The 24,316-nt window shown below is 43.6% G+C and overlaps 1 protein-coding gene and 1 pseudogene across 1 annotated transcript, besides 4 other annotated features; one reads left to right on the forward strand and one right to left on the reverse strand.

Annotated features, from left to right (window-relative positions):
- CHGB (chromogranin B) lies at positions 1,455-15,298 on the forward strand. The gene is made up of 5 exons (NM_001819.3): positions 1,455-1,627; positions 6,271-6,317; positions 6,771-6,864; positions 12,280-14,045; positions 14,917-15,298. The coding sequence occupies exons 1-5, from the start codon at positions 1,579-1,581 to the stop codon at positions 14,992-14,994; spliced, it is 2,034 nt and encodes a 677-aa protein (NP_001810.2). The 5' UTR covers positions 1,455-1,578; the 3' UTR covers positions 14,995-15,298.
- Positions 1,585-1,654: a silencer, noted in NCBI's record as "silent region_12658". NCBI's record gives its function as "represses an Ori minimal core promoter by ATAC-STARR-seq in GM12878 lymphoblastoid cells {active_cell/tissue: GM12878}" and the evidence as "EXISTENCE:reporter gene assay evidence [ECO:0000049][PMID:35858748]".
- Positions 1,695-1,744: a silencer, noted in NCBI's record as "silent region_12659". NCBI's record gives its function as "represses an Ori minimal core promoter by ATAC-STARR-seq in GM12878 lymphoblastoid cells {active_cell/tissue: GM12878}" and the evidence as "EXISTENCE:reporter gene assay evidence [ECO:0000049][PMID:35858748]".
- Positions 13,755-14,954: an enhancer, noted in NCBI's record as "BRD4-independent group 4 enhancer chr20:5904456-5905655 (GRCh37/hg19 assembly coordinates)". NCBI's record gives its function as "activates an origin of replication core promoter dependent on BRD2, P300/CBP, MED14 and CDK7 cofactors, and independent of BRD4, by STARR-seq in HCT116 cells {active_cell/tissue: HCT116}" and the evidence as "EXISTENCE:reporter gene assay evidence [ECO:0000049][PMID:35650434]".
- Positions 17,090-19,264, reverse strand: KANK1P1 (KN motif and ankyrin repeat domains 1 pseudogene 1; annotated as a pseudogene).
- Positions 23,893-23,942: a silencer, noted in NCBI's record as "silent region_12660". NCBI's record gives its function as "represses an Ori minimal core promoter by ATAC-STARR-seq in GM12878 lymphoblastoid cells {active_cell/tissue: GM12878}" and the evidence as "EXISTENCE:reporter gene assay evidence [ECO:0000049][PMID:35858748]".

Raw genomic sequence — 24,316 nt, forward strand, 5'->3', positions numbered from 1 at the left:
ATACAATACAATACAATACAATACAATACAGTAACCTATAGATCTTATTCAACATTTATCCATTGTTCCACTAATATCCTTTTTAAGTCCATTCTTTTAACTGTTCTGTGGCTGTGGTCTTGGTGAAATACTTTCCAGCTTTTTCAGGAAGATGTAGCCATTCATTCAGCACATACAAAAAGAATTTGAACCTCATTAATTTTCAAGAAAAGTAAACTGAAACCTCGCTTGAGCTGTGCATGCAGACATCTTCATTCCCTGAATGAAGAGAACCCAGTGAAGTCTCACTCCGTTCCACAAAGCCTGTGTTATTCCTATTCTGTGCAGGTCACCTGCCTGCTGCTGCTTCCCGATTCCTCATTAGGCTGAGGGAACCCACATCAAAAATATCCTGGAAGATGCTTTCGTCTTTTTCTCACACATCATAACAAAAATACTTTACTGTCTCAATTTGAAAGCAAGAGAGGATGCACAGGGTTTGTAGCATCGACTATTTCTTACTAGCAGGTTATTACACGACCCACCCCTGAGACTAAGGCTGTGTTGTAAAGGAGTAAAGACCAAAGGGTAACAACCTGAATGAATGCTCATTAGAAAAGGAACTGGTTAAATACATTCTATTGTATCCATTCAATGTAATACATCATTCAAAAGAAGATGCAGCTGTATATGTTCCAAAATAAGTCAAACCTAAATTATAGGAGTAGTAAAGTTGTGTTGACTGAAAGAGGAATTGAGGAACTTGAGATTTGGAAATAAAGGGAGAAGGGAGACTTTTATAGTAAATCCTTTTGTACCGTCTGATTTTTTTTTTAAACCATGTGTATATGTTATGTATTCAGAGAGGGAGGAGGAAGAGAGACAGAGAATCATGAATAGGAGATATAATCATGGATAGGTAGATGGATATGCAGACAAAAAGAAAAGTTTGAGAGAACAGCAGGTCCCATATTCTCCGGCTGCACTTTTAACTTTTAAAGCTATCACTGTCTTTTCCATTTTCCCTGACCAACCATTTAGTTCTCTCTCGGTAGCAGGAGTGTTTTCCTCAGCTAGGTCGAGGAGACACAAACAGACCTCGTCACGCACACATCTCAGCACACAGGCATATAGTCTCAAACACACGGTTTTAGATTTGATGGTGTGTGGGGGGAGATGGGGAGCAGGCTGAGGCACTCGAAGCGGGACCTCCCGCCTCCCCTACCATCTCAGATCTGCACTACTCCCCTCGGCCGTCCATTCTTTGGCCCGCCTTTCCCCCACCCCCGCTCCAGACCCTGCACACCAGGCGACTGGACTGGCGTAAATTTCCGCCCATTTGCGTCGCCGCCTGGGGGTGCTGCTTCGTGACGTCAGGGCTGAGCTAGGGGGCGCCCGCTCCTGGCTGCCCGCTCCTCCCGGCCCTGCGGCCCCCGCCTGCCCTTTAAAAGAGCGGGGCCTGCGCCGGCCGCGCCACACCGCGGGGACCAGGAGGCACGCTGGTTTTCCGGGGCCGCTCCATCGCGCCTTCCTCCTGCGCCTCGCTTCTCCGGTCCAGCCGCCATCTTCCTTTCCGCACAGGGGCCGCCGAGCGGGGCCATGCAGCCAACGCTGCTTCTCAGCCTCCTGGGAGCCGTGGGGCTGGCGGGTGAGTGGGCGCGGCGGGCCGGTCAGCACCGCGGACAGCGCCAGCCTCGCTCTTCCCCGCCGCTCCCGCAGCCAGGCTGGCGGATCCCGGGAGAGAGGGAGGGTTGAGGGGAAGGTTTACCTCTTGCTTCGTTTCTTCTCCTCCCTGGGTGTTTTCCTTCAGCTCCTCCCACCCGTTTGACTTGGAAAAAGCTAGAGGGCTTCCTAGCCCAACCAGGGGAGCCTCAGTCTTTCTGTATCTGAGTTTTCCTCTAGATAGGAAGGAAGAAAACGTGCCATACCTGCAAGGAAACCTCACATTTTGTATTCGCTTCTAAGATGTCACACTCTCTCTGCCCGTCTAGAGAGATTCTGTTGTCTGATTCTGTATCTGTTTGGCTTTTTAAAGCCAGGCGACTACAGAGAGGCAGGAATACATGTATGATGCTATTTAGTGCCTGCATAATTTCCCTTATTATTGTTATTGTCATGTAAGTATGATGAGATAAAAGTGAGTCCCATATATATATAAGATATATCCCTTTTCTTAACATGTCCATATATAATGTGTGTGTATGTGTGCTCATGTATGTACAAGTTTAATATAATATGTTCCTCTATTTTGTATTTCCATCTCTAGGGACAGGTAATTTCTAATTTCACACTCAAAGGAATTATTTTTTTTTAACCTGTGAAAGCCTCAGCAGTCCTGAGAACATGTGCTCCTCATTTTTTAGTTATGAATGGAAACCGCAGTATTTTGACTTCTGTACTCCAGGAAAATTATTAGAGTACAAAATAACCACAAAAGTTCCTTTGGAGTAGTAAAAAAAAAAATGTTTTAGCCAATTTAGGAGGATTGAATTTTAAGTAGTAGATATTTGACTGTTTCCCTTTTGTAGGGAAGATTGTAGGATTAATCTTTCAAACTACCCTGAATCTCAAACAAATGATCTCTGAAGATCTGAAGTGTGTGTGTGTGCATGTGTGTGTGTGTGTTGAAGTCGAGTCACCTACCGGTATTGAGATATTGAGACTATTGAGAAGTAAGTATACTAGCACCAAATTAAACTACAGGTTTTCTTCAGCTGTTTTAATGATTTAGAAAATTGTCCATATCTGAGATTGAGACTCCTACCTAGAATTGAGATACTGCCATCCATGAATATGAAGCTTTTATTGGCAGCAATTACTAGATCCAAAAGGTAGAAACAAAATGAAAGCCAGTCGTAATTAATTTTATTGTAAGCTATATACATTCAGAATTTGCTAAAATTCTTGTCATTCTCACAAATTGTCAATAAATGTTCTCAATTTCATTAAAGAAAATCAAATGAATATTTATAATTATTTCTGGTCAAAATACTTTCAGAAAAGAATTGCTTTGCTTAGGAGGCTGTAGACCACAAAAACAGTGACATTTGTGGGAATGATTTAACTATTGTGGTACAATACTTACAGATCTCTTATGTAACAGAATATTTTAAATAAAAGTTTATATTTTAATAGCAGCTAAAATGAAGACATAATCTTTTTAAAAATTGAGCTTAATTTGTATATCATATAATCCACGCTTTTAAATTATATAGTTCAGTGGTTTTTGGTATATTCGCAGATTGTGCAACTATTACCACTATCAAATTTCAGAACATTTTCATCACCCCAGAAAGATACCACAAACCCATTAGCAAGCACCTCTCCATTCCCACCTCCCCACAGCCTCTGGCAATGAGACATGTTAGACTTCAAGTAGAGCTGGTAATTTGCAAAATTACAGGGCTGGGGGAAGCCTCAAGAAACCATCTAGCTCATTCACTTATCCTTAAGAACTTCTGAAAGATATGCACAACCTTCTATGGAAGCTATTGTGCACTCTAAAAATTAATATAAGGGAAGTAGTAAAATGATATCCATATTATTCTAGGTAAAATGGTTTCTTTATCTTTCTTTTTCTTTTCTTTTCTTTTCTTTTTTTTTTTTTTTTTTTGAGACAGAGTCTTGCTCTGTTGGCCAGGCTGGAGTGCGGTGGTGCAATCTCAGCTCACTGCAACCTCCATCTCCCGGGCTCAAGCAATTGTCTTGCTTCAGCCTCCCGAGTAGCTGGGATTACAGGTGTGTGTCACCACGCCCAGCTAATTTTTTTGTATATTTAGTAGAGATGAGGTTTCACTATGTTGGCCAGGCTGGTCTCGAACTCCTGACCTCAGGTAATCCGCCAGCCTCGGACTCCCAAAGTGTTGAGATTACAGGCATGAGCCACTGCACCCGGCCGGGAAAATGGTTTCTAAATTCAGAAGAGCTTATTTAACTTATTTTACAGTTATATTTTCAATCCAGTATCAAACCTTAACAGTATTAGATATTAATACATCAGAAGTTGCTCTCAGATTTACCAGATTATTTGATAATTTTTCTACCATTTGATTGCTTTACTTTTAACACGAGCAGTAGGTTTTCTTTTTTTTTCGTATATACCTACAGAGAGCATTAGATTTTCTGTTGTGCCACCTGAATCTTACTGTATGCAAAAGTAAGTTGAACTACTTTAAGGATGACAACATGCCTTTGGCTATTACCTTGTTGTCACAAATTTTACCGGAAAAATACAGAAGCACCTAGATGTCTCACCAAGATGTATAATGTATGTTCAAAAGCAGACCCTAGTTTTTTTTTCCATCAAAAAGAGATCTGAAGAGCCTCAGTCAGAGAAACAACGGTTTCATAAATACAAACCTAAGCTACAAGTTGTCTAGAGTAATAAAAGAAAAATCTTTCTCTGCCCCCAAATCTGGTAACTATTAATACTTCAGCAATACCAGTAGTTAATAAAAACATCTATTTTACATTTGTAAAAAAAAAGGGAAAGTATTAGCAAGAAACTGCATTATCAAGAAGGCTTAGTAAAGCTGCATTTTTTAAAAGTCATCTGATTTATTAGGGGAGTTATTCTCTCGCAGTCATTTATTTGCAGAAGATATTACAGATTTCCAGCGGAAAGAGAAAGTGCTGAAATGGGTGTGTTCTCAAGTAGCCATTTGGAGGATGAAAGAACAGTTGAGTATATTGGACCTTGGGTACCAAAAGTGGGCCAACTGGATCTTGCCTGATAAGCATTTCAGGAGGAACTTGGGGTCTTCATAGCATAACTTTGGGCTTCTTGAAACAGTTGAAGTGATCCCAGATCATGCTTTGAAAAGAAAAATTTGGTAAAGTAAGTAAATGAATAGGTGTTTTATTTCCAGGTTGAGCCCCATGATATGTAATTGATAGGGGGTGGGGAATGTTTAAAGAGGCTTAGAGCAAAGCATTTTGCAAGGAAAGGTCAGGTTGCTGCATTTGAATAGCTTTCATGTCTGATGTCTGAGAACTTGCCCCAGCTAGCTCTACTCTCTTCTCAGGGACTTAGAAGAATTTTCTGCACTAGCGTCTCCTGCTCAGTTGCCTGCTACAGGAATGCCAGGAGAACTGTAGAGATGGACTTACATGTAAATGCTTTGGGCTGTTCTAATAGAAAGGGCTTAGAACAAAGTCAAAGTGAAAAAAGAATCAAAGCAGCTTTGAGACAGAAAAAAAATGGCACTGAAAAATTAAAATTACCTGAAGCATTTTTGAAGAAGACAAAGCAACTTCAAACACTGTTTTAAGATAGGCGGAATCCCATGAAATTTTATTGAAATAAATTAAAATTTTTCTTTTAAAATATTCTTATAAACCAATGGTTAAACACCAATTTGCATAAAATATTATGGACTTGATGCTGTACTAGGAGGGTTAGATATCTGCCATGTTCTTTACATGGTTGCAAACAGTGTGGAGAAAGAGAAACACAATGTTGATACGGATGCATAAACGAGCTTGTTCAGGCAAAGGCCTTGCGGGTGAAAAATGAGGTAATTAATTATGGAAGACATCCATAACCATGTTTTTGTCAAGGAAGTAAGTTTTGGGAGGATATATTTTTGGAAACAGAGATACGGAGAGAGAGCCACAGATCTTTACCTATTTGGGGTAGGCAGAGAAGGACCAAGGAGGGCATTCTTGTTTTATTAGACTTAGTTTGGTTTAAACTTTTTTTTTTTTGAGACGGAGTCTGGCCCTGTCACCCAGGCTGGAGTACAGTGGCACGATCATGGCTCACTGCAACCTCCGCCTCCTGGGTTCAAGCAATTCTCCTGCCTCAGCCTCCCAGGTAGCTGGCGCGTGCCACCACGCCTGGCTAATTTTTTGTAGTTTTAGTAGAGACAGGGTTTTGTCATGTTAGCCAGGTTGGTCTCGATCTCCTGACCTTGTGATCCACCAGCCTTGGCCTCCCAAAGTGCTGGGATTACAAGCATGAGCCACCGCACCCAGCCCTAGCTTAAACTTTTAATTGAAATAAAATATATAGAAAATGGAACAGATCATGAGTATACAGCTTAATACGCACACCTGTGTAACCAGCACTGAGATTAAAAAATGGGACATTTCTGGTTCCCCAGAAGTCCCCTCCTTGTCTGTGGTCTAGATTTGATTTATACCGGATCTAAAATAGCATTTGTTTCCAAATATATTTAAGACATTGCCAGGGGAAAAACAACAACTAATGTGGGGTGATTTTGTCAGTTGGGGTCACACAGCTTTCAAAAACCAACTCAAGTCATTTTCCATTCTTTTTCTCCTTCAAAGCTGTCAATTCCATGCCAGTGGATAACAGGAACCACAATGAAGGAATGGTAAGTTGCAATGTCAATCTTAGAATCTAGACTTGTGTCTAGACTCTAGATTCTCCCAGTCCCTATTATACCAAACCAAACACACGCATGACATAATCTTACAAAGCCAGGTTTTCATTGCTGACAGAATGTGAGCAAGGGATGCCCCTCCTGCACTGAGCTCCTATGTCCTGTCAGGATGGTTTAGCACCCCTGAGGATAGCTGTGCCATTGGTTCAGAAATGGGTGTTTATTTCCCTTCTCCAGATAATCCCAACTCAGTGCCTTCTTGCATTATTCTGTGTAGAAGTTTGGAAGATTTCATTCTGTTCCTGTAAATCTGTATCTCCGCCCTAAGAATACTGCATCAGCCCAGGTCACGTAATCAAGTCTTCCTTGACAGCAGCTCTGGGTTGAGTAGTCTGTCATCCAGTGATACCAGCTTCTCCAACCTGCTTTCGGGTTTCCCCCCAGGTGACTCGCTGCATCATTGAGGTCCTCTCAAATGCCTTGTCGAAGTCCAGCGCTCCACCCATCACCCCTGAGTGCCGCCAAGTCCTGAAGACGAGTAAGTGTCCCACACGGCAGGCAGATCTTGGTCACTGCAGTGATCCTTGTTCCTACTCCCTCCACATCACCTTCTACTTTATCTACAAATGACCTGGGGGCATAATGCACTAGGAAGAGTATTGATTGACTAGGCCAGTATCTGGGAGACAGAAGATATGACTCCTAGTTCCTGCTTTACCACTTCGCAGCTGTGTGACTATAGGAAAGACAGTTTGCCTCTCTTTTCCTCAAAGTAAAATGAAGGAGTTGAACTCAGTGATAGTCTTTCAGATGTCTATCCGTTCTTAAATTCCTTAGTTCCATACTTTGGATTTTTAGAACCGGACTTCCTTTGGGTGGAGGGGGTTTGGGAAATGCTGGTTTGTGATTAGATGAGGAGGGGGGTTATGGAAGTGTTGGACAATGACAGAGGGAGATTTAAAAATCATTCTTCTCTTTGCCTTTTGCTCTTCTGACAGTGAGAATCAGGAAGCTGAGAAGCAAGAAACTTAGAAAGGTGACTTAAAATTCTGGCCTATTTACACAACAAATTAGCTAAGATATTTTAATGTATAGCTTACTAGAATAGAAGGTGCCACCAAATGGTACCAGGAGTTCCAGGCCTGAGAACTGGAAGGGTTTCAGGTAGAGGCAGTGCATTCCAGTGAGGCAGACTAATGGCTTTCTGAGTCCAGCCTGTGAAGTGTTCTCAATATGAAACCATTTCTGCTGAAAATAAAATTTGAACAGTAATATAAGCAGTACCCATTGGAAATTGACATTATGAGGTCAATTTTACAAAACTATGCAGTCTCTGTTATGCATGAAGCCACACTGATTCAAACAAATCCAGAAAACACTGCCCTCTTCAACACTGTCCTCTGCTTTTAAACTTTTAGTCAGGCTGGGAACAGTAGATTTTATCTTATTTTTTCACCTTTAAAAATCTTTCAGGTGGGCATAGTGGCTCACACCTGTAATCCCAGCACTTTGGGAGGCCGAGGCAGGTGGATCACCTGAGGTCAGCAGTTTGAGACCAGCCTGGCCAACATGGTGAAACCCTGTCTCTACTAAAAATACAAAAAAAAAAAAAAAAAATTAGCCAGGCATGGTGGCAGGCACCTGTAATCCCACTACTCAGGAGGCCGAGACAGGAGAATTGCTTGAACTTGGGAGGCAGAGACTGCAGTGAGCCAAGATTGAACTCCATTGAACTCCAGCCTGGGCAACAAGAGTAAGACTCCATCTAAAAAAAAAAAAAAAAAAAAAAACTCTCATTGCCACCAGCCTGGCCAATATGGTGAAACCCCATCTCTACTAAAAATACAACAACTAGTTGGGTGTGGTGGCGGGCGCCTGTAATCCCAGCTACTTGGGAGGCTGAGGCAGGAGAATCGCTAGAACCTGGGAAGCAGAGGTTGCAGTGAACTGAGATCGTGGCATTCCACTCCAGCCTGGATACAGCCTGGGTGGCAGAGTGAGGCTCCATCAAAAACAAAAACAAAAACAAAAAAAACACCAAATAAACACCTCTCGCTGCCAGACAAGACTCTCTTGCTATAGCTATACATGAGCCCTCATGCATGAAATGGTAAAAAGCAAATAGTGATTGGCCAAAAGAGTAACCTGAGGCCAGGCGCAGTGGCTCACACCTGTAATCCCAGCACTTTGGGAGGCTGAGGCGGGCGGATCACAAGGTCAGGAGATCAAGACCATCCTGTCTAACACAGTGAAACCCCATCTCTACTAAAAATACAAAAAATTAGCCGGGCGTGGTGACACACGCCTGTAGTCCCAGCTACTCAGGAGGCTGAGGCAGGAGAATCGCTTGAGCCCAGGAGGTGGAGGTTGCAGTAAGCCGAGATTGCCCCACGGCATTCCAGCCTCAGTGACAGAGCGAGTCTCTGTCTAAAAAAAAAAAAAAAAAAAAAAAAAAAAAAAAAAAGAGCAACCTGAATTAATTCAATCTTTGGGGGCTTCAGGTAACAATGGTAGCTGTGGGGGCCTGAGCCTTTAGGGACCCTAGAAACAGTGGATGGAAGCTTTCCTACCACTCCCAGCCCACATACCTCTTTCTGAGTTTCTTTCCAACTTCTTTTTTCCAGCAGTTACAGGAAGTGAGTAAGAGCAGAGTGGGTCACTAGGCAGAGAGTAAAGGCTGCTCCTTTTGGCAAACCCATCTTGGTATCTCCCTTTCCCTTTCTTTGTTTACTAGACCAATGCAAAAGTGAGGGGCCTGTCCCATCAGCTCACTAAAGAACCACAGTTGCTTAGGAAAAGTTGCCTATGCCTGCCTGCCAAGATCTTAGCCCTTAGATTATGGCATAGTAACTCTAGCCTCTGCTCCAGCCCTGATTATGCCCTGAGGTCTTTTGGTGTCTGTTGAGAGAGACGTAGGGAAACTGGGAAAAATCAAATGTATCTAAGGATCCTGGAGATGTTATACCCAGAGAGTGACAGAATGCTGAGATGGCGAAGGTTTAAGAGCTCTTCTGTGGTTGAGCCTTAAACACCAGGCAGAGCTAGACAGACAAATAACACAAAAGAGTAAGGCAGGACAGGAAGTGACTCACAGACTGGAGGGCACATGCCTTTTCTGAGAGGGAGCAGGTAATTCTCAGCTCTAAACCCGTTATGGAGAAATACAGACTATGTTGTCAAATCTTGGGATTTTTCAAAAGAAGTTAAAATTTTGATTTTTAAAAGACATCTCCTGGTATTTTCATATCGCCTCTGAATTCAGATGTACTAAAACTGCTGTTTAGGTCAAACAGAATTTACCTCTGATGCACCAGTTTGCAACTTTTATCCTATTCTAGTTCTCTCTCTCTTGTTGGCATGTCGTAAACTGATCAGAAGACTGGTGGAGCTTTTGCCCAACTGGTTGGATGAATGCCTTTATACAGCCTCTGTTCCACCCCACGCCCATCTCCACTCCCACTCCTACTTGCATGTCTCAGAGTCAGCATATACTCACTGAGCAAATGAGTATTTGGGGAGTAGGACAGAATCATTGTTTTATGGATTTGAGAGACCTCAGGGAAGACGTAGTCTAATTTCTTCACAGGTACAAGAATCTCTTTGACTAGGGTTGATCTGGTCATCCTTACAGCATGACAGATGCATTTCCCTGTTTTCGCTTGAAAGTAAGTGTGAGCTTCACAGCTTGATTTTACAGCTTGACAGTGAGTGTGTGCTGCTATCACAGCCTCTTCCAGGCCCACCTGCGGGGCTTAAAGCTAAATTTAGTAGGAAGAGCTAAGCCTCAGGCACATGCTGCTCAGGCAGTACATATTTAATTGGGAAAAAATAAAAATACTTCTGTTCCTGACACTTAAGACTCACAAACCAGTAGGCAGTAGGAAAGGGACCACAGTGACTCGGCCCCTGGAGGCTGAGATCTTGTCTGATCAGCTCTATTTCAACCAACTCTCAGAATGACATCAGTATCTGTCTGTCTTAGTCAGCTTGGGCTGCTATATCAAATACCATAGATTGGATGGCTTAAACAACTAACATTTATTTTTCACAGTTACAGCAGTCGGAAGTCCAAGATCAGAGTGTCTTATGAGGGCCCACTTCCTGGCTTGTAGATGGCTGCCTTCTGTCACTGTATCCTCATCTGGTGGAGACAGAAATCATCTCTTTCTCATATCTCCTTTCTTAGGGCACTAATCCCATTGTAAGTGCTCTACCTTGATGACCTAATTACCTCTCAGAGGCCCCCACCTCCACGTGCTATCACATTGAGGATTAGGGCTTCAACATTTTGGAATCACACAAACATTTAGTCAATAGCACTGCCCAGAGCCACCATGCTTCCCTGTGCCCATCTGGCTAGCCATGCCCCAATGCTATACACACCACCACTGGCTTTTAAGAGGCAAAGAGACTGGTGACAGATGGGCCTTCTCTCAGATGTCTGGAAAAGGCCAGGGACATTTTCATTGCCTCATAAACATGAGAATATTATTATCATGCCAGACTGGACTTTAAACAGAGAGGTACAGAGAGTCCACTATTTCTTGGACATTTTTACAAAATAAATAATTTTTTTCCATTTTGCAAATATCATTTCAAAATAACTTATCAGTGCCACCCAATAGAAATATAATGTGAGCCACAAATATAATTTCAAATTTTATAGTAACCACATTTAAAAAGTAAAAAGAGACAGGTGGAAATTAATTTCAATAATATATTTTATTTTTATCCAATTTTTTTCTGATATATAATTTTATAAATCTGATCTATTTGAAATATATATTATCCAATACATCCAAAATATTATTTCAACATATAATGATATAAAAATTGTTGAGATTATTTTACATTATTCTTTATTCTCAGAAGTCTGATGTGTATCTTACATATATAGCATGTCCCAGATCGGACCAGCCACATTTCAAGTGCTCAACAGCACTTGGGCTTATGGTGCCTGCAGTGTAGACCCAGAGCTGTCAGTGGCCTTGGCTTCAGGCATTTTATCTGAACTCTGTGACATAGGTTGAAATCCAAGCCCTCCCAGCTAACAACTGAGACAATGCTAACTGCCTATCTCCTTTCATGGGGTGCCCTTGAGTTAAGGAGGACTTAGTAAAGGAGCTATTGATATTTGGAAAAGATGGACGAGAACAGCATTCAATTAAAATATCAGTTATACCATGTACTCTGACTCTGGAAACACAAAGATAACTCACTGTGCTGAAGTCTGTCCCCAACATCTGAGAACATGTTGGGTGGATGGAACCTGAGTGAAGAAAGAAATGGCCCTTTCCACTGATGTGCAGTTTTCTCAGGCAAGAAATGTACACCCTTATCACCAGCTACTAAGTTATATATCACATACTGCTAGGTTGAGCCTACAGTTGATTGGATAATAAAAGTCTGATATAAACTAATAATTTCAAATGTTTAAATCCTCCTTTGAATCTTGATATTTCTTATTTTGGCTAGTTAACTATCTAGCTGGATTATTGTTAGAGCCATTCACATAGTGCTAACTTTTTAACTCCTACTTGAAGAAAATATGGAAAGAATGGTCTTGGATTATACCATGCTGAGTCTCAATGTCTGCAAAAAGAAGAGGTTGGACTGGATTAGATGAATTCTAAGATGTTTCCTGCCTCTAAATTCTAATATTTCATAAATCTATATCTCGATTTCAGTTTGATCATTGGTAGTACCAATGAGAGAAGCTGGCTGGGCATTATGAAGACATAAAAATATAGACAGTTTATTACCAGATTTAAACACAGTCAAGGAGCTTTCATAGCATTTACTTTCAAAAGGAATCTGAGTATATTCTTCATTAACTTAAATAATTATCCAAGCAATTTTCAGTGTCATCAGGATTTGTAGTGATTACTGAGGCTGGTGCTTGTGGAACCACAAGCAATTCTGAAATTATACCTACTCTTCATTTTCATTATAGGTAGAAAAGACGTCAAAGACAAAGAGACAACTGAAAATGAAAACACAAAGTTTGAAGTAAGATTGTTAAGAGACCCAGCTGATGCCTCGGAAGCCCACGAGTCCTCCAGCAGGGGAGAGGCAGGAGCCCCAGGGGAGGAGGACATCCAAGGCCCAACAAAGGCAGACACAGAGAAATGGGCAGAGGGAGGCGGGCACAGCCGAGAGCGAGCGGATGAGCCCCAGTGGAGCCTCTATCCCTCCGACAGCCAAGTCTCTGAAGAAGTGAAGACACGCCATTCTGAGAAGAGCCAGAGAGAGGATGAGGAGGAGGAGGAGGGAGAGAACTATCAAAAAGGGGAGCGAGGGGAAGATAGCAGTGAAGAGAAACACCTTGAAGAGCCAGGAGAGACACAAAACGCTTTTCTCAATGAAAGAAAGCAGGCTTCAGCTATAAAAAAAGAGGAGTTAGTGGCCAGATCGGAAACACATGCTGCCGGGCATTCTCAGGAGAAGACACATAGCCGAGAGAAGAGTAGCCAGGAGAGTGGAGAGGAGACAGGGAGCCAGGAGAATCACCCCCAGGAGTCTAAAGGCCAACCCCGAAGCCAGGAAGAATCTGAGGAAGGTGAGGAAGATGCCACCTCTGAGGTGGACAAACGACGCACGAGGCCCAGACACCACCACGGGAGGAGCAGGCCCGACAGGTCCTCTCAAGGAGGGAGTCTTCCCTCTGAGGAAAAGGGACACCCCCAGGAGGAATCTGAGGAGTCAAACGTCAGCATGGCCAGTTTAGGGGAAAAGAGGGACCACCATTCAACCCACTACAGGGCTTCAGAGGAAGAACCTGAATATGGAGAAGAAATAAAGGGTTATCCAGGCGTCCAGGCCCCTGAGGACCTGGAGTGGGAGCGCTATAGGGGCAGAGGAAGTGAAGAATACAGGGCTCCAAGACCTCAGAGTGAGGAGAGTTGGGATGAGGAGGACAAGAGAAACTACCCCAGCTTAGAGCTTGATAAGATGGCACATGGATATGGTGAAGAAAGTGAGGAAGAGAGGGGCCTTGAGCCGGGAAAGGGACGCCATCACAGAGGCAGGGGAGGGGAGCCACGTGCCTATTTCATGTCTGACACCAGAGAAGAGAAAAGGTTCTTGGGTGAAGGACACCACCGTGTCCAAGAAAACCAGATGGACAAGGCAAGGAGGCATCCACAAGGTGCGTGGAAAGAGCTGGACAGAAATTATCTCAACTACGGTGAGGAAGGAGCCCCAGGGAAGTGGCAGCAGCAGGGAGACCTGCAGGACACTAAAGAAAACAGGGAGGAAGCTAGGTTTCAAGATAAACAATATAGCTCCCATCACACAGCTGAAAAGAGGAAGAGATTAGGGGAACTGTTCAACCCATACTACGACCCTCTCCAGTGGAAGAGCAGCCATTTTGAAAGAAGAGACAACATGAATGACAATTTTCTCGAGGGTGAGGAGGAAAATGAGCTGACCTTGAACGAGAAGAATTTCTTCCCAGAATACAACTATGACTGGTGGGAGAAAAAGCCCTTCTCTGAGGATGTGAACTGGGGGTATGAGAAGAGAAACCTCGCCAGGGTCCCCAAGCTGGACCTGAAAAGGCAATATGACAGGGTGGCCCAACTGGACCAGCTCCTTCACTACAGGAAGAAGTCAGCTGAGTTTCCAGACTTCTATGATTCTGAGGAGCCGGTGAGCACCCACCAGGAGGCAGAAAATGAAAAGGACAGGGCTGACCAGACAGTCCTGACAGAGGACGAGGTATGGTCTAGGGCTTCTGTTTAAAAGTACTTACTCTGGTCAATGTTAGCACATTATGTTCAAGACTATCCGATATTCACGGGGAGAAATTGGTGGGAATTAATCACTATGAAAATGGTGCTCTAGTAATGGAGTGGAGGCCACCTTGGGGGTCGGTTTCCACCTACCTCTAGCCATCGTCCACATCCTTGTCCACCTCACTCGGTTGCATTGCTTCTCAACCTTGTCTGCACACTGGGGTCACCTGGAGAGCGTGAAAAATTACTGTGTTAGAGATTCTGTCTACTTAGTTCCTAGGGTGCTGCCTGATCATCAGAATATTTTAAAGCTTCCAGATGATTGCAGCGTTCAGCCAACGTTAACAACTGCTGTTCTGGTATCTTCCCCTTGGTCCTCTTATTGTTCATCACTCTCTCCCTGAGGCAGGGAGAATAGGTGATAGAGAAGTTTACTTGCTTGCCTATTTAGTTTGCTATCTTTATTATTTCATGCCCTACTGCCATCAGAAATTTGTATCTGGGAGAGGTAACACTACTGGAGCTGAACCTACCCAAACAATGTTTTTTTTCCTAATATTGATTATGTAGGTTGGTGCTTCTCAAAGTTGAATGTACATTAGGATCATGAGGGATTCCTAGCCCCCAGAGTTCCTCATTTAGTAGGTCCCAAGTGAGACCCCAATATCTGCATTTCTGACAAGTTCCTGGCTGATGCCACTGGTCAGGGGACCACACTTTGAGAGTTACTGAGGTAGGTTGACTAATGCAGCTTCTAACATGCCTAAAATTCCCCTTTGCACTCATGCTCCATCAAACTACAGCAAAAGAAATTGGTTCGGGACCTCATGCCTCCACTTTTCTGTATTTTCCAGAAAAAAGAACTCGAAAACTTGGCTGCAATGGATTTGGAACTACAGAAGATAGCTGAGAAATTCAGCCAAAGGGGCTGACTGTCATTGGAGCGGTGGGCACTGTTAAGAAGCAGCCATCACATGATCTGTTTTTCACCACTTCACTGAAAGACACCATTTATCTACCCAAGGGCAGAAAGTAGAACTTACTATTCATTAAATGTTTGACACAATTGGAATTGTCTTTAATTTCTGTCAGAATGCTATTGAAAATGTGAATTGCATGACTTGTAGCATATTCTTTTCTGCAAAATAGACATATTAACATGCTTATGACAATGACTGTGCTACTGTCTTTGGAAAAATGTTTGTCTCAGTTGGAAATAATAAAAGATTCACCTGAGACCAAAAGCTTCATTGTTCTCAGCTTCTTTTGGGCAAAGAGAGAGGTGTGTGACTTTTCAAATCTATTCTTTGAAGTAAATTGCAAAAGATGGCCCTAGGATTTGTTGGGTTTTGGATGCATAATAGAATAAAAAAGCAAACCTTTTGAAGTAATGTGCAGGATATAAAGAGAAATAGATTAGAAAAAGACATCTACTCCCCCATGCTGAGAGAGATTACAGGGGCTTGAAGAACCTGTTTCAAAAACAATCATAAGATATTACTTTAAAAATTCCTTTATCTAAAGAGCTCTACAAGTAGCCAGCCAAAGTTCATTTTTCAGGGCTGAGAAGAAAGCTTGGATAATGGGAAGAATTCCGGGGTGGGAGTGAAAACATCTGGATTGTCAAGACAGATCCCTGGCCCCTCAGATCTTGTCTGATTTCTACTCCTTAAGAAGATAGAGGCAGCTGGGTGCGGTGGCTTACAGTTGTAATCCTAGCACTTTGGGAGGCCCAGGCAGACAGATCACGAGGTCAGGAGTTTGAGACCAGCCTGGCCAACATGGTGAAACCCCATCTCTAATAAAGATACAAAAAAAAAAAGCTGGGCATGGTGGCGGGCACCTGTAATCCCAGCTACTTGGGTTGCAGTGAGCGCAGATCAGGCATTGCACTCCAGCCTGGGTGGCAGGGCGAGACTCTCTCAGAAAAAAAAAAAAAAAAAAAAAAAAAATATATATATATATATATATATATATATATATACATATATATATATATATATATAGAGAGAGAGAGAGAGAGAGAGAGAGAGAGAGGCTAGGCATGGTGGCTCACACTTGTAATCTCAGCACTTTGGGAGGCCAAGGCAGGTGGTTTGCTTGAGCTCAGGAGTTTGAGACCAGCCTGGGCAACATGGCGAAACCCCGTCTCTACAAAAAATTTAAAAATTAGCCAGGCATGGTGTTGTGCGCCTATAGTCCCTCCCTACTCAGGAGGCCAAGGCGGGAGGATCACTTGAGCCCTGGAAGTTGAGGCTGCATTGAGCCGAGATCGTGCCACTGCACTCCAGCCTAGGTGACAGAGTAAGGTCCTGTCTCAAAAAGAAAAAAAAAGGTAGAGCTTTTACTCTGCTGACTCTGTTACTAAGTAGCTCTGACTTTGGGCAAGTTACTTTTCCTCTCTGAACCTCAAGATCATCAATGAAATAAGATATTTGTCTCATTGAGTTGTTACAAGGATGATAGAGTTGATGCAAAACAGAGCAGTGCCTGGTGTATATCAACGGCATAGGAAGTGTTAGCTGCTGCCGTAATCATTCTTGCAGCTTCTTAGGACAATACAGTTGGACAATTCCCCTTCTCCCTTTTTTTACCTGTCATTTAATTCCTCACCCTTGGTGGCTTCTACTTGGTTGATTTCTACTGTTTTCACAGTTTTGGTAAAGAGTTATTCTCTGGAAGGTGGTGCAGAAGAGAGTAAGACCTTCTCTTTACTCTCTGAAGGTTGGATAATTAAGTCTATGGAATAAACTGACCGTAGGCAGATTAACAGGAGAAAAAAACATTTTAATTACATGCATAGGCCCAGGAGTCCCACACAATAGAAGACTCAGAAGGGCCAGATGATTGAAGTTTTTATAGCATCCTGAGCTACAGAAGAGAATAGGGGGCTTGGGGTTCCTGGGGGACACAGTTATGGGAAGGTAGCAGGAGGAATTGTATGATAAATAAAGGTTGTGTTGTTATGCAGATAAAATCTCTCAGGTAATCAAAGTGATCCAGCAGCCTTCTTTTTTTTTTTTTTTTAAAAGCTTAATGAAATTTTATTTTGAAAATATGGCAAAAGTCTAAGGCACTTCAAATATTTAAATACATGTAGGACCAAAGTAAATGTGACACAGTATAAAGGAATCCATAAATACAGAGAACTACACTATATTTCTCTAGAGGCAAATACATAGCCAATTCCTCTAACACAATTCAACCTTTATCATTAGATACAGAATTGTGCAATTATTAACAAAAATATGATAATGTTACATGTAGTTCTTCATGTCTTTAATTAGTATGAAATATAAAAGTTGAAAATACTGTGCCAATTTCATATACTCTTTTTTTTTAAAAAAGTCATATTTACATCTACCTAGATGAAACCAAATGAAAATATTTTCTTTTGTAAGTTTCATAGTTTTTGAGAGTTCTATCTAGCCCAGACTGAAGTTACTGATGATCAACTTTCTTACTTTAAAATAATACAAGAAAAATCAACAAAACTGTGCTGGGATGGAATTTTGGAAGAGCTTTCTAATGGTGCCACATTTGGTAAATATAAATATTTGTGGAAAAATTTTAAAACGTGATGCCAATGAGAACCTGACACTTCTCTGTGGTGGTGGTCTGGGAGTGGAGAGACGGAATAGAAGGTGCCCATTCAGGTCAGGTCAGGTCACAATTCCCTATGGCTGTACATAACAGAGCAGAGACTCAACAGCAACACAGAGTAGGTTAAAGTGCACCGTACGCAGACAGAAGATGGCCAGAAAGGAGGCATGTGTGCCCAGGCTGGCAGTCTCTGCACTGTGAAAGCTTCAGTCTTTAGCCCTGGGCTTTATGCTTCTGTTTGCTGGTGAGCTCAGGCACAATGCATATACATTCAGTGTCTGTCATTCCAACAGGCACAGTTGGCAGCTTAATGGTGGCATTAAAATGGAGGGCTATTTGCATACAATCAATCAAATGAAACTCTGTGGCTTCATTCCAAGCCTAGGGGTGCCCGGAGACTGAGCTTTTGCAAAGCTGATGTGGGCATACAGAAGAACAGTGATGCCCTTGTGCCCCACTTCCAGGGCGATCGAGAGCATGGTGCTGCCATCATTGTCCTGCAGGTGGACGTTGCAGCCCAGCTGGGCCAGCAGCAGCTTGATGATCTCCATGTGCCCGTGCTTGCTGGCACAATGAGGACCATGGAGCCCTTGTCGTCCTGGAGGTTGACCTGAGCCCCACAGGCCGGCAGACCATACACCATGCCGATCTGCACAGTAACTGACTGCAGCATGAGGGCCATCTGCCCCAGCTGACTGGCTTTGAGGCTCACCTTTCAGCCAGAGTTCTTCCCCAACCTGCATGTCCTCTGCTTCCGCAGCTGCGAGGGCCGCCAGCATGATGAAGGTATAGCCCCTTGTTCTGGTGATCCACGTTACACATGTGGGTGTCCAACAGCAGCTTCACAATCTCAAAATTGGAGTGGGACATGCTGTAATGGAGGGCTGTGTTGCTGTTGCCATCTGCCAAGTTGATGACCTAGTAGAGGGCATCCAGGGAGGTAGCCTCAAAAGCAGCTCTGTAGTCTCCCAGGGTGGCTGCAATGGCTAACTTCTGACTGGACACGCAGAACCCCTTGTGCTGGAGGGTGTTCAGACAGAACCTCATATCTTTGCTGGTCACAGCTTTGGGGTCATTTATATTATTTTTCAGTAAGTTGCAAGCAGACAACATTTTTTCACTTAATTTATACCTCCCTCTGATTTTCACCTTCTCAGGTTCACGTTCTTGAAACTGCATTTCATCTTCCACCCTGGCCAACTTGAAACCTTCAATGTTAATGGCATGGTGCCCTTTGGCCATTCCCCAAGTGTCTTCATCCTCGTCTTCTTCAAGAGGATACTACTCAATGACACTCAATGACATCACACTCGTCATCTGACTCAGAAGAAGAGCTTTCATCTGTGTGAAAATCATCACTTGAAGTTGTTGCATAACCTCCATTAATGCCAACAAACTGAAGATTCTTTTTCATGCCATTTGAATCTTTGTTACCATCTTTCTTCTTCATAATGGGCTCCAGTGTACTTTCATTGTTTGTGCATATGGAGGCCAGCGGCCATCTGGTTGTCTGTCAGGTTCACTAGAGACCATGTCCTTTCCTGAGCGGGGAAGGCATCCTGGCTGCTGACCAGCTTTCCTTCTGAGATCCCTACCTCTGAGCAGCCTTCTTCCTGATACAGATACTTTACTAATGTAGATTTCCTTTCTAGATGTACATTTCCTTGTAAAAAGGACAGCTTTTTAGAGCCATTCCTGTGTCTGTAGTTTCTCTGAATAATCAGCTCGAAATATGCCAAAGAGGTATATTTTTGGGTGGCACATTGTGGTCTCCTCCAGTCATATTTTGGGATGGTGTGGGCCGAGCCCCAGCAGAGGCAAAAATAAGACTTAAAATCACGTAGGACTTTTATCCATCAAGGAAGACCTGGTTCTCCTCCTCTTGGCTAAGTCAAGAATTGCCTGTGCTACTTAACCAGATTCTTTTTAGATGAACTCTCTGTGACATACTTTTCCAGGAGCATTGCTGCTTTGTCATATGGGGAGCCCATCAGTGCTATAAATCTGATGGCAAATTTTTCTAAACCTGGACACACACTTCTAGAAGGTTTCTTGCTATCTCTCTGCCTGCATTTTTTTTTTTTTCTGGCCATGGGATTGTGACTGCCTGTTTGTAAAGGGCAGTGATGGGGGTGTGAGGAGGGGAAGGCTGCTGGAGGAGGTAGCTCTTATAGTGGACAAGGGGGGTTGGTAAATACATACCATACTAGTTTTCTGGGGCTGCCATAACAAATCACCACAAAACGGATGGCTTAAAACAAGAGAAATTTATTCTCTTACAGTTTTGGAGGCCAGAAGTCCAAAATCAAGGTGCTGGCAAGGCCATGCTCCCTTCAAAGCCTGTAGAGGAGGATCATTCCTTGCTTCTTCCTGGTTTCTTGCTTCATCCTTGCTTCTTCATTCCTTGCTTCTTCCAGGCCTTCCTTGGCTTGTGGCAGCAGAGCTCCCACTGCCACCTCTGTCTGCACATGGGCACTCTCTCCCTGTGAGTCTGTCTGTTAACATGGTGTTCTTCATCAGGACACCAGTCATATTGAATTAAGGACCCATCCTACTCCAGTATGACCTCATCTTAACTAATTACATCTGCAACCACCCTATTTTCAAGTCAGGTCACATTTACATGTATTAGGGGTTGGGACTTCAACATGTTTTTTTTCTGGGGACACAATTCAACCCATAATAAAGCAGGCCAGCACCCACCCCCCTCAGGTGGAGAGACACTGAGGCACATATTCTGCACTGCCTCCCAGACTTCCTCTGTGGATCATGCCCCAGGTGCCACAGCAGTGACCTGCCCAATAATGCAGCCTTTATTGGCTGCCTTTACCTTTTCCACTGCCCACTGGTGACCCTGCTGGTGTTTCCTGGGATCATCTCTCATATAAACTGCTTGTTTTCAAATACTTGTCTCAGGGTTTGCTCCTGGGGGACCCTGACCTAAGAAACTATCCAAAGTCAAGGCTTATATTATGCCAAATAGTATACCTGCACTTGCAACCCCTTGTCTTAATATATCCTGATACAAGATACTGGGAAATGCTCAGCATGTACTCACATGCACAGAGTACAATGTCTCTTCCTTTTTTCCTATCACAGCCCAGCAGAAAACAAAATCCTTTCCTAAAGAGAGATTCAGGGGCCCAAGGTGAAAAATGATTTACTGTCTATAGGAGAGAAAATAAAACCCAGCAATACACCAAATGCCAGCCTGGCAAATCTCACACACACACACACACACTCACACACTGGGCACTGCTCACGAGGAAAGCTGCTGGAAGCTAGAGTGCAATGCATATGGCACCCCCCAGCTTCCCCCTGGCATCTGCCTTGTTGAGGTTCTGCACATTAGTACATCTTTTCATTTTAGTTTGCAAACACCCCAGGGGAGGGAAACGTGAAGGTGTAGATGGTCTATCAAAGATGAAGGAGACATCCAAGAGAATCCCACCCAATACGTGCTGCTCAGACGGTACAATTAGGATCTTGGGGATGTCACCATTTCTTCAGGAAGAAGTGAAGAACAATCTAGTCCACTGTTTTTCCCACTTTTAATCAAAATAATTTATGTCCATTGTAAAAACATTAAGTAGTCCTGAAAGGCTTATAAATGAGGATTATGGGTTGAATTTTGTCCCCAAAATGAAGAAGTCTTAACCACTGGCACCCATGAATGTGACCTTATTTGGAAATCAGGTCTCCGCAGTTAAGATGGGGTCATTAGAGTTTCTAGTATTATTGGTGTCCTTACAAGAAGACGGAAATTCAGAGACAAACACACACACAGAGGAGAATACCATGTGGAGACAGAGGCAGAGACTGGAGCTATGCCTCTTCAAGCCAAGAAATGCCTGGGTTACCAGATTTTTCTGGTACGGTCAAGGAAGGATTCTGCCCTAGAACTGTCAGAGGGAACACTGCCTCTGCCAACAATTCAGTTTCAGACTTCTGGCCTCCAGATATGCAATAGAATACTTTTCTGTTGTTTTAAGCCACTCAGCTTGTGGCACATTGTTATGGCAGCCCTAGGTATCTAATACAATGAGAAACAATGGCCTCAGTGCCCCATCCTCCAAATCTGTGTGCAGATGCAGCCACCTGTAATTTAACTTTTAGATTTATTTTCTTATTTGAATATATTGTCATGATTTATAATATCATGACAAGTTTATCGAGAAGGAGTTATAACACAGAGCTGGGACAGGAGGAAAGAAAGGGTCCTATTATTACAAAATGAAAATACACACCATGCCACTGTAAAACATAGTATAATCAGGAGGCCGGGTGGGTGGTTCACCCCTGTAATCCCAGCACTTTGGGAGGTCGAGGCAGGCAGATCACCTGAGGTCGGGAGTTGGAGATCAGCCTGGTCAACATGGTGAAACTCTACTCTACTAAAAATACAAAAAAATAGCTGGGTGTAGTGGCAGTTGCCTCTAATCCCAGCTACTCGGGAGGCTGAGGCAGGAGAATCACTTGAACCCAGGAGATGGAGGTTGCAGTGAGCTGAGATCGTGCCACTGCACTCCAGCCTAGGCAACAAGAGCGAAACTCTGTCTCAAAACAAACAAACGAACAACAAACACATAATATAATCAGGAGATTTCAGGTGCTGAAATAATTAATTAATTGCAGTAATTACAATTCTGCAGTCCAGGATCCTGACACTCACATATATGACAGGCTTCACTGAGAAAGTATCTGTTGATGAAAGACCTAAAGAAAGGGTGTGAGCCATGTGGACACCTGGGGCAAGGACATTTCAGGCAGAGGGAATAGTAGGTGCAAAGGCCCTGGGTCAGGAATGTGTTTGGCATGTTTGAAGAAGAACAAGAGGCCAGAGTGGGAGACTGTCGTAGGAGGTGAGCTTAGAGAGGCAGCAGGGGCCAGGTCACGCAGGGCTCTCTGTAGGTCCTGGTAAGGACTTTTGTTTTACAATTGGAGAGTTCTCAACGGATGACTGATAGGATTTGCTTTATGTTTATAACAACACTGGCTGCTGGGTTGAGTGATGGCTGTAGGGGAAGTGAAGGCAGAAACACAGAAACCAATAAGGAGGGCACTGTAATGACCCTGGTGGGTCATTGTGATGGCAGGGTCCAAGGTGGTGGCACTGGGAATGGGGAGAAGTGGTAGAATTCTAGATCTATTCTGGAGACAGAGCTGACACGTAGGGCTGCTGGTTTTGGTGTGGCATGAGGGAATGAGAGGAGAATACCAAGGCTTTAGGCCTGAGCATCTGGGAAAACAGATGGGGAGACTGCAGGAGGGACTGGTTTGGAAGGGTAGAGATGGGGAGCTCAGATTTGAACTTGTTAAGTTTGAGACGTGAATAGATACCCAGCAGAGGTGTTGAGCTGGGTATATGAGCCAGTGCTGGAGGAAAAGGCCTGTGTTGAAGACTGCATGTGGGAGTCATCATCATAGAGACGGTATTTAAAGCCTTAAAACTGGGTGAGATCACCTAGAGTTATATAAATGAGTGAAAGATGGCCTCTGTTTATTGGCTCATAGATTGTTTATTTCTTCATTGCAGGCTGACACTGATTACTGCAGAAGCCAAACTCAAATTTTTACACATCCAATTATTTTAAACAAATTTTATGCCAATTTTTAGCCATTCAGGGCCTTGCTGGTACATACCCGGTGAAACTATACCCAGCATCTGTTGGCCATTGATAACATAGAGCCTTGTGGTTATAAGACCTTAAGTGCGATGTTAATCCCAGCACTTTGGGAGGCCGAGGCAGGCAGATCGCTTGAGCTCAGGAGTTCAAGACCAGCCTGGGCAATGTAATGAAACCCTGTCTCTACTAAAAATACAAAAATTAGCTATATGTGGTGGCATGCGCCTGTAGTCCCAGCTACTTGGGAGGCTGAGGTGGGAGGATCACTTGAGCCTGGGAGGTGGAGGTTGCAGTGAACTGAGATCATGCCACTGCTCTCCAGCCTGGGTGACAGAGTGAGACCCTGTCTCAGAAAAATAAAGCCAAAAACAAAAACACAAACCTCAAGCCGTCCCTGTCCTTCGGAGCTCTCTGACCCAGAGACTCCCCTCTGTACTGCTGTGCAACACCACCTAGACACATAAGCCTTGTTTCTGACTCTCCCCTCCCTCGGGGGTATCCTTGCCTTTCCTCCTCTCCTTCTGAGTAGCAACACCTGTAGTGTGTGCTCTTTGCACAGACTCTTGCTCTAAGGGACATCCCCCTACCCCTATGCAAACCTGTCAGAGTGTCACCATCACCAATAAAATATGTGTGTGCTGCTGCCATCTCATGGTCATGTCTTTCTCTTTGATCAGTCCCCAAATCCTCCAAACACCCTAGGGAGTTAGTGTAGACAAGAAAAGGAAGAAGTGCAAGTGCTGAGCCCTGAGGCATGCCAATGTTTAGAAGTTTCAGAGATGAGGAAGAACCAGTAAGAGAGATACAGAAAGAAAGGCTGGAGAGGTAGGAGGGAAACCAGGAGAGAGTGGTGTTCTAGAAGCCAAGGGAGGAAAAGCCTGGCAAGGAGAGGGATGGACGGTGTCAGACACTGCTGATAGGTCCAGCGGACCGAGAAGGAGCTCTGGATGTCACACTACTGTCCATTGTTGCTTGCTGCCCACACCAAACCTGCTTCCCACTGTGGCTGCTCCAAAGGGCTGCT

Source organism: Homo sapiens, chromosome 20 (genome assembly GCF_000001405.40).
Source record: "Homo sapiens chromosome 20, GRCh38.p14 Primary Assembly".
Taxonomy (NCBI): Eukaryota; Metazoa; Chordata; class Mammalia; order Primates; family Hominidae; genus Homo; species Homo sapiens.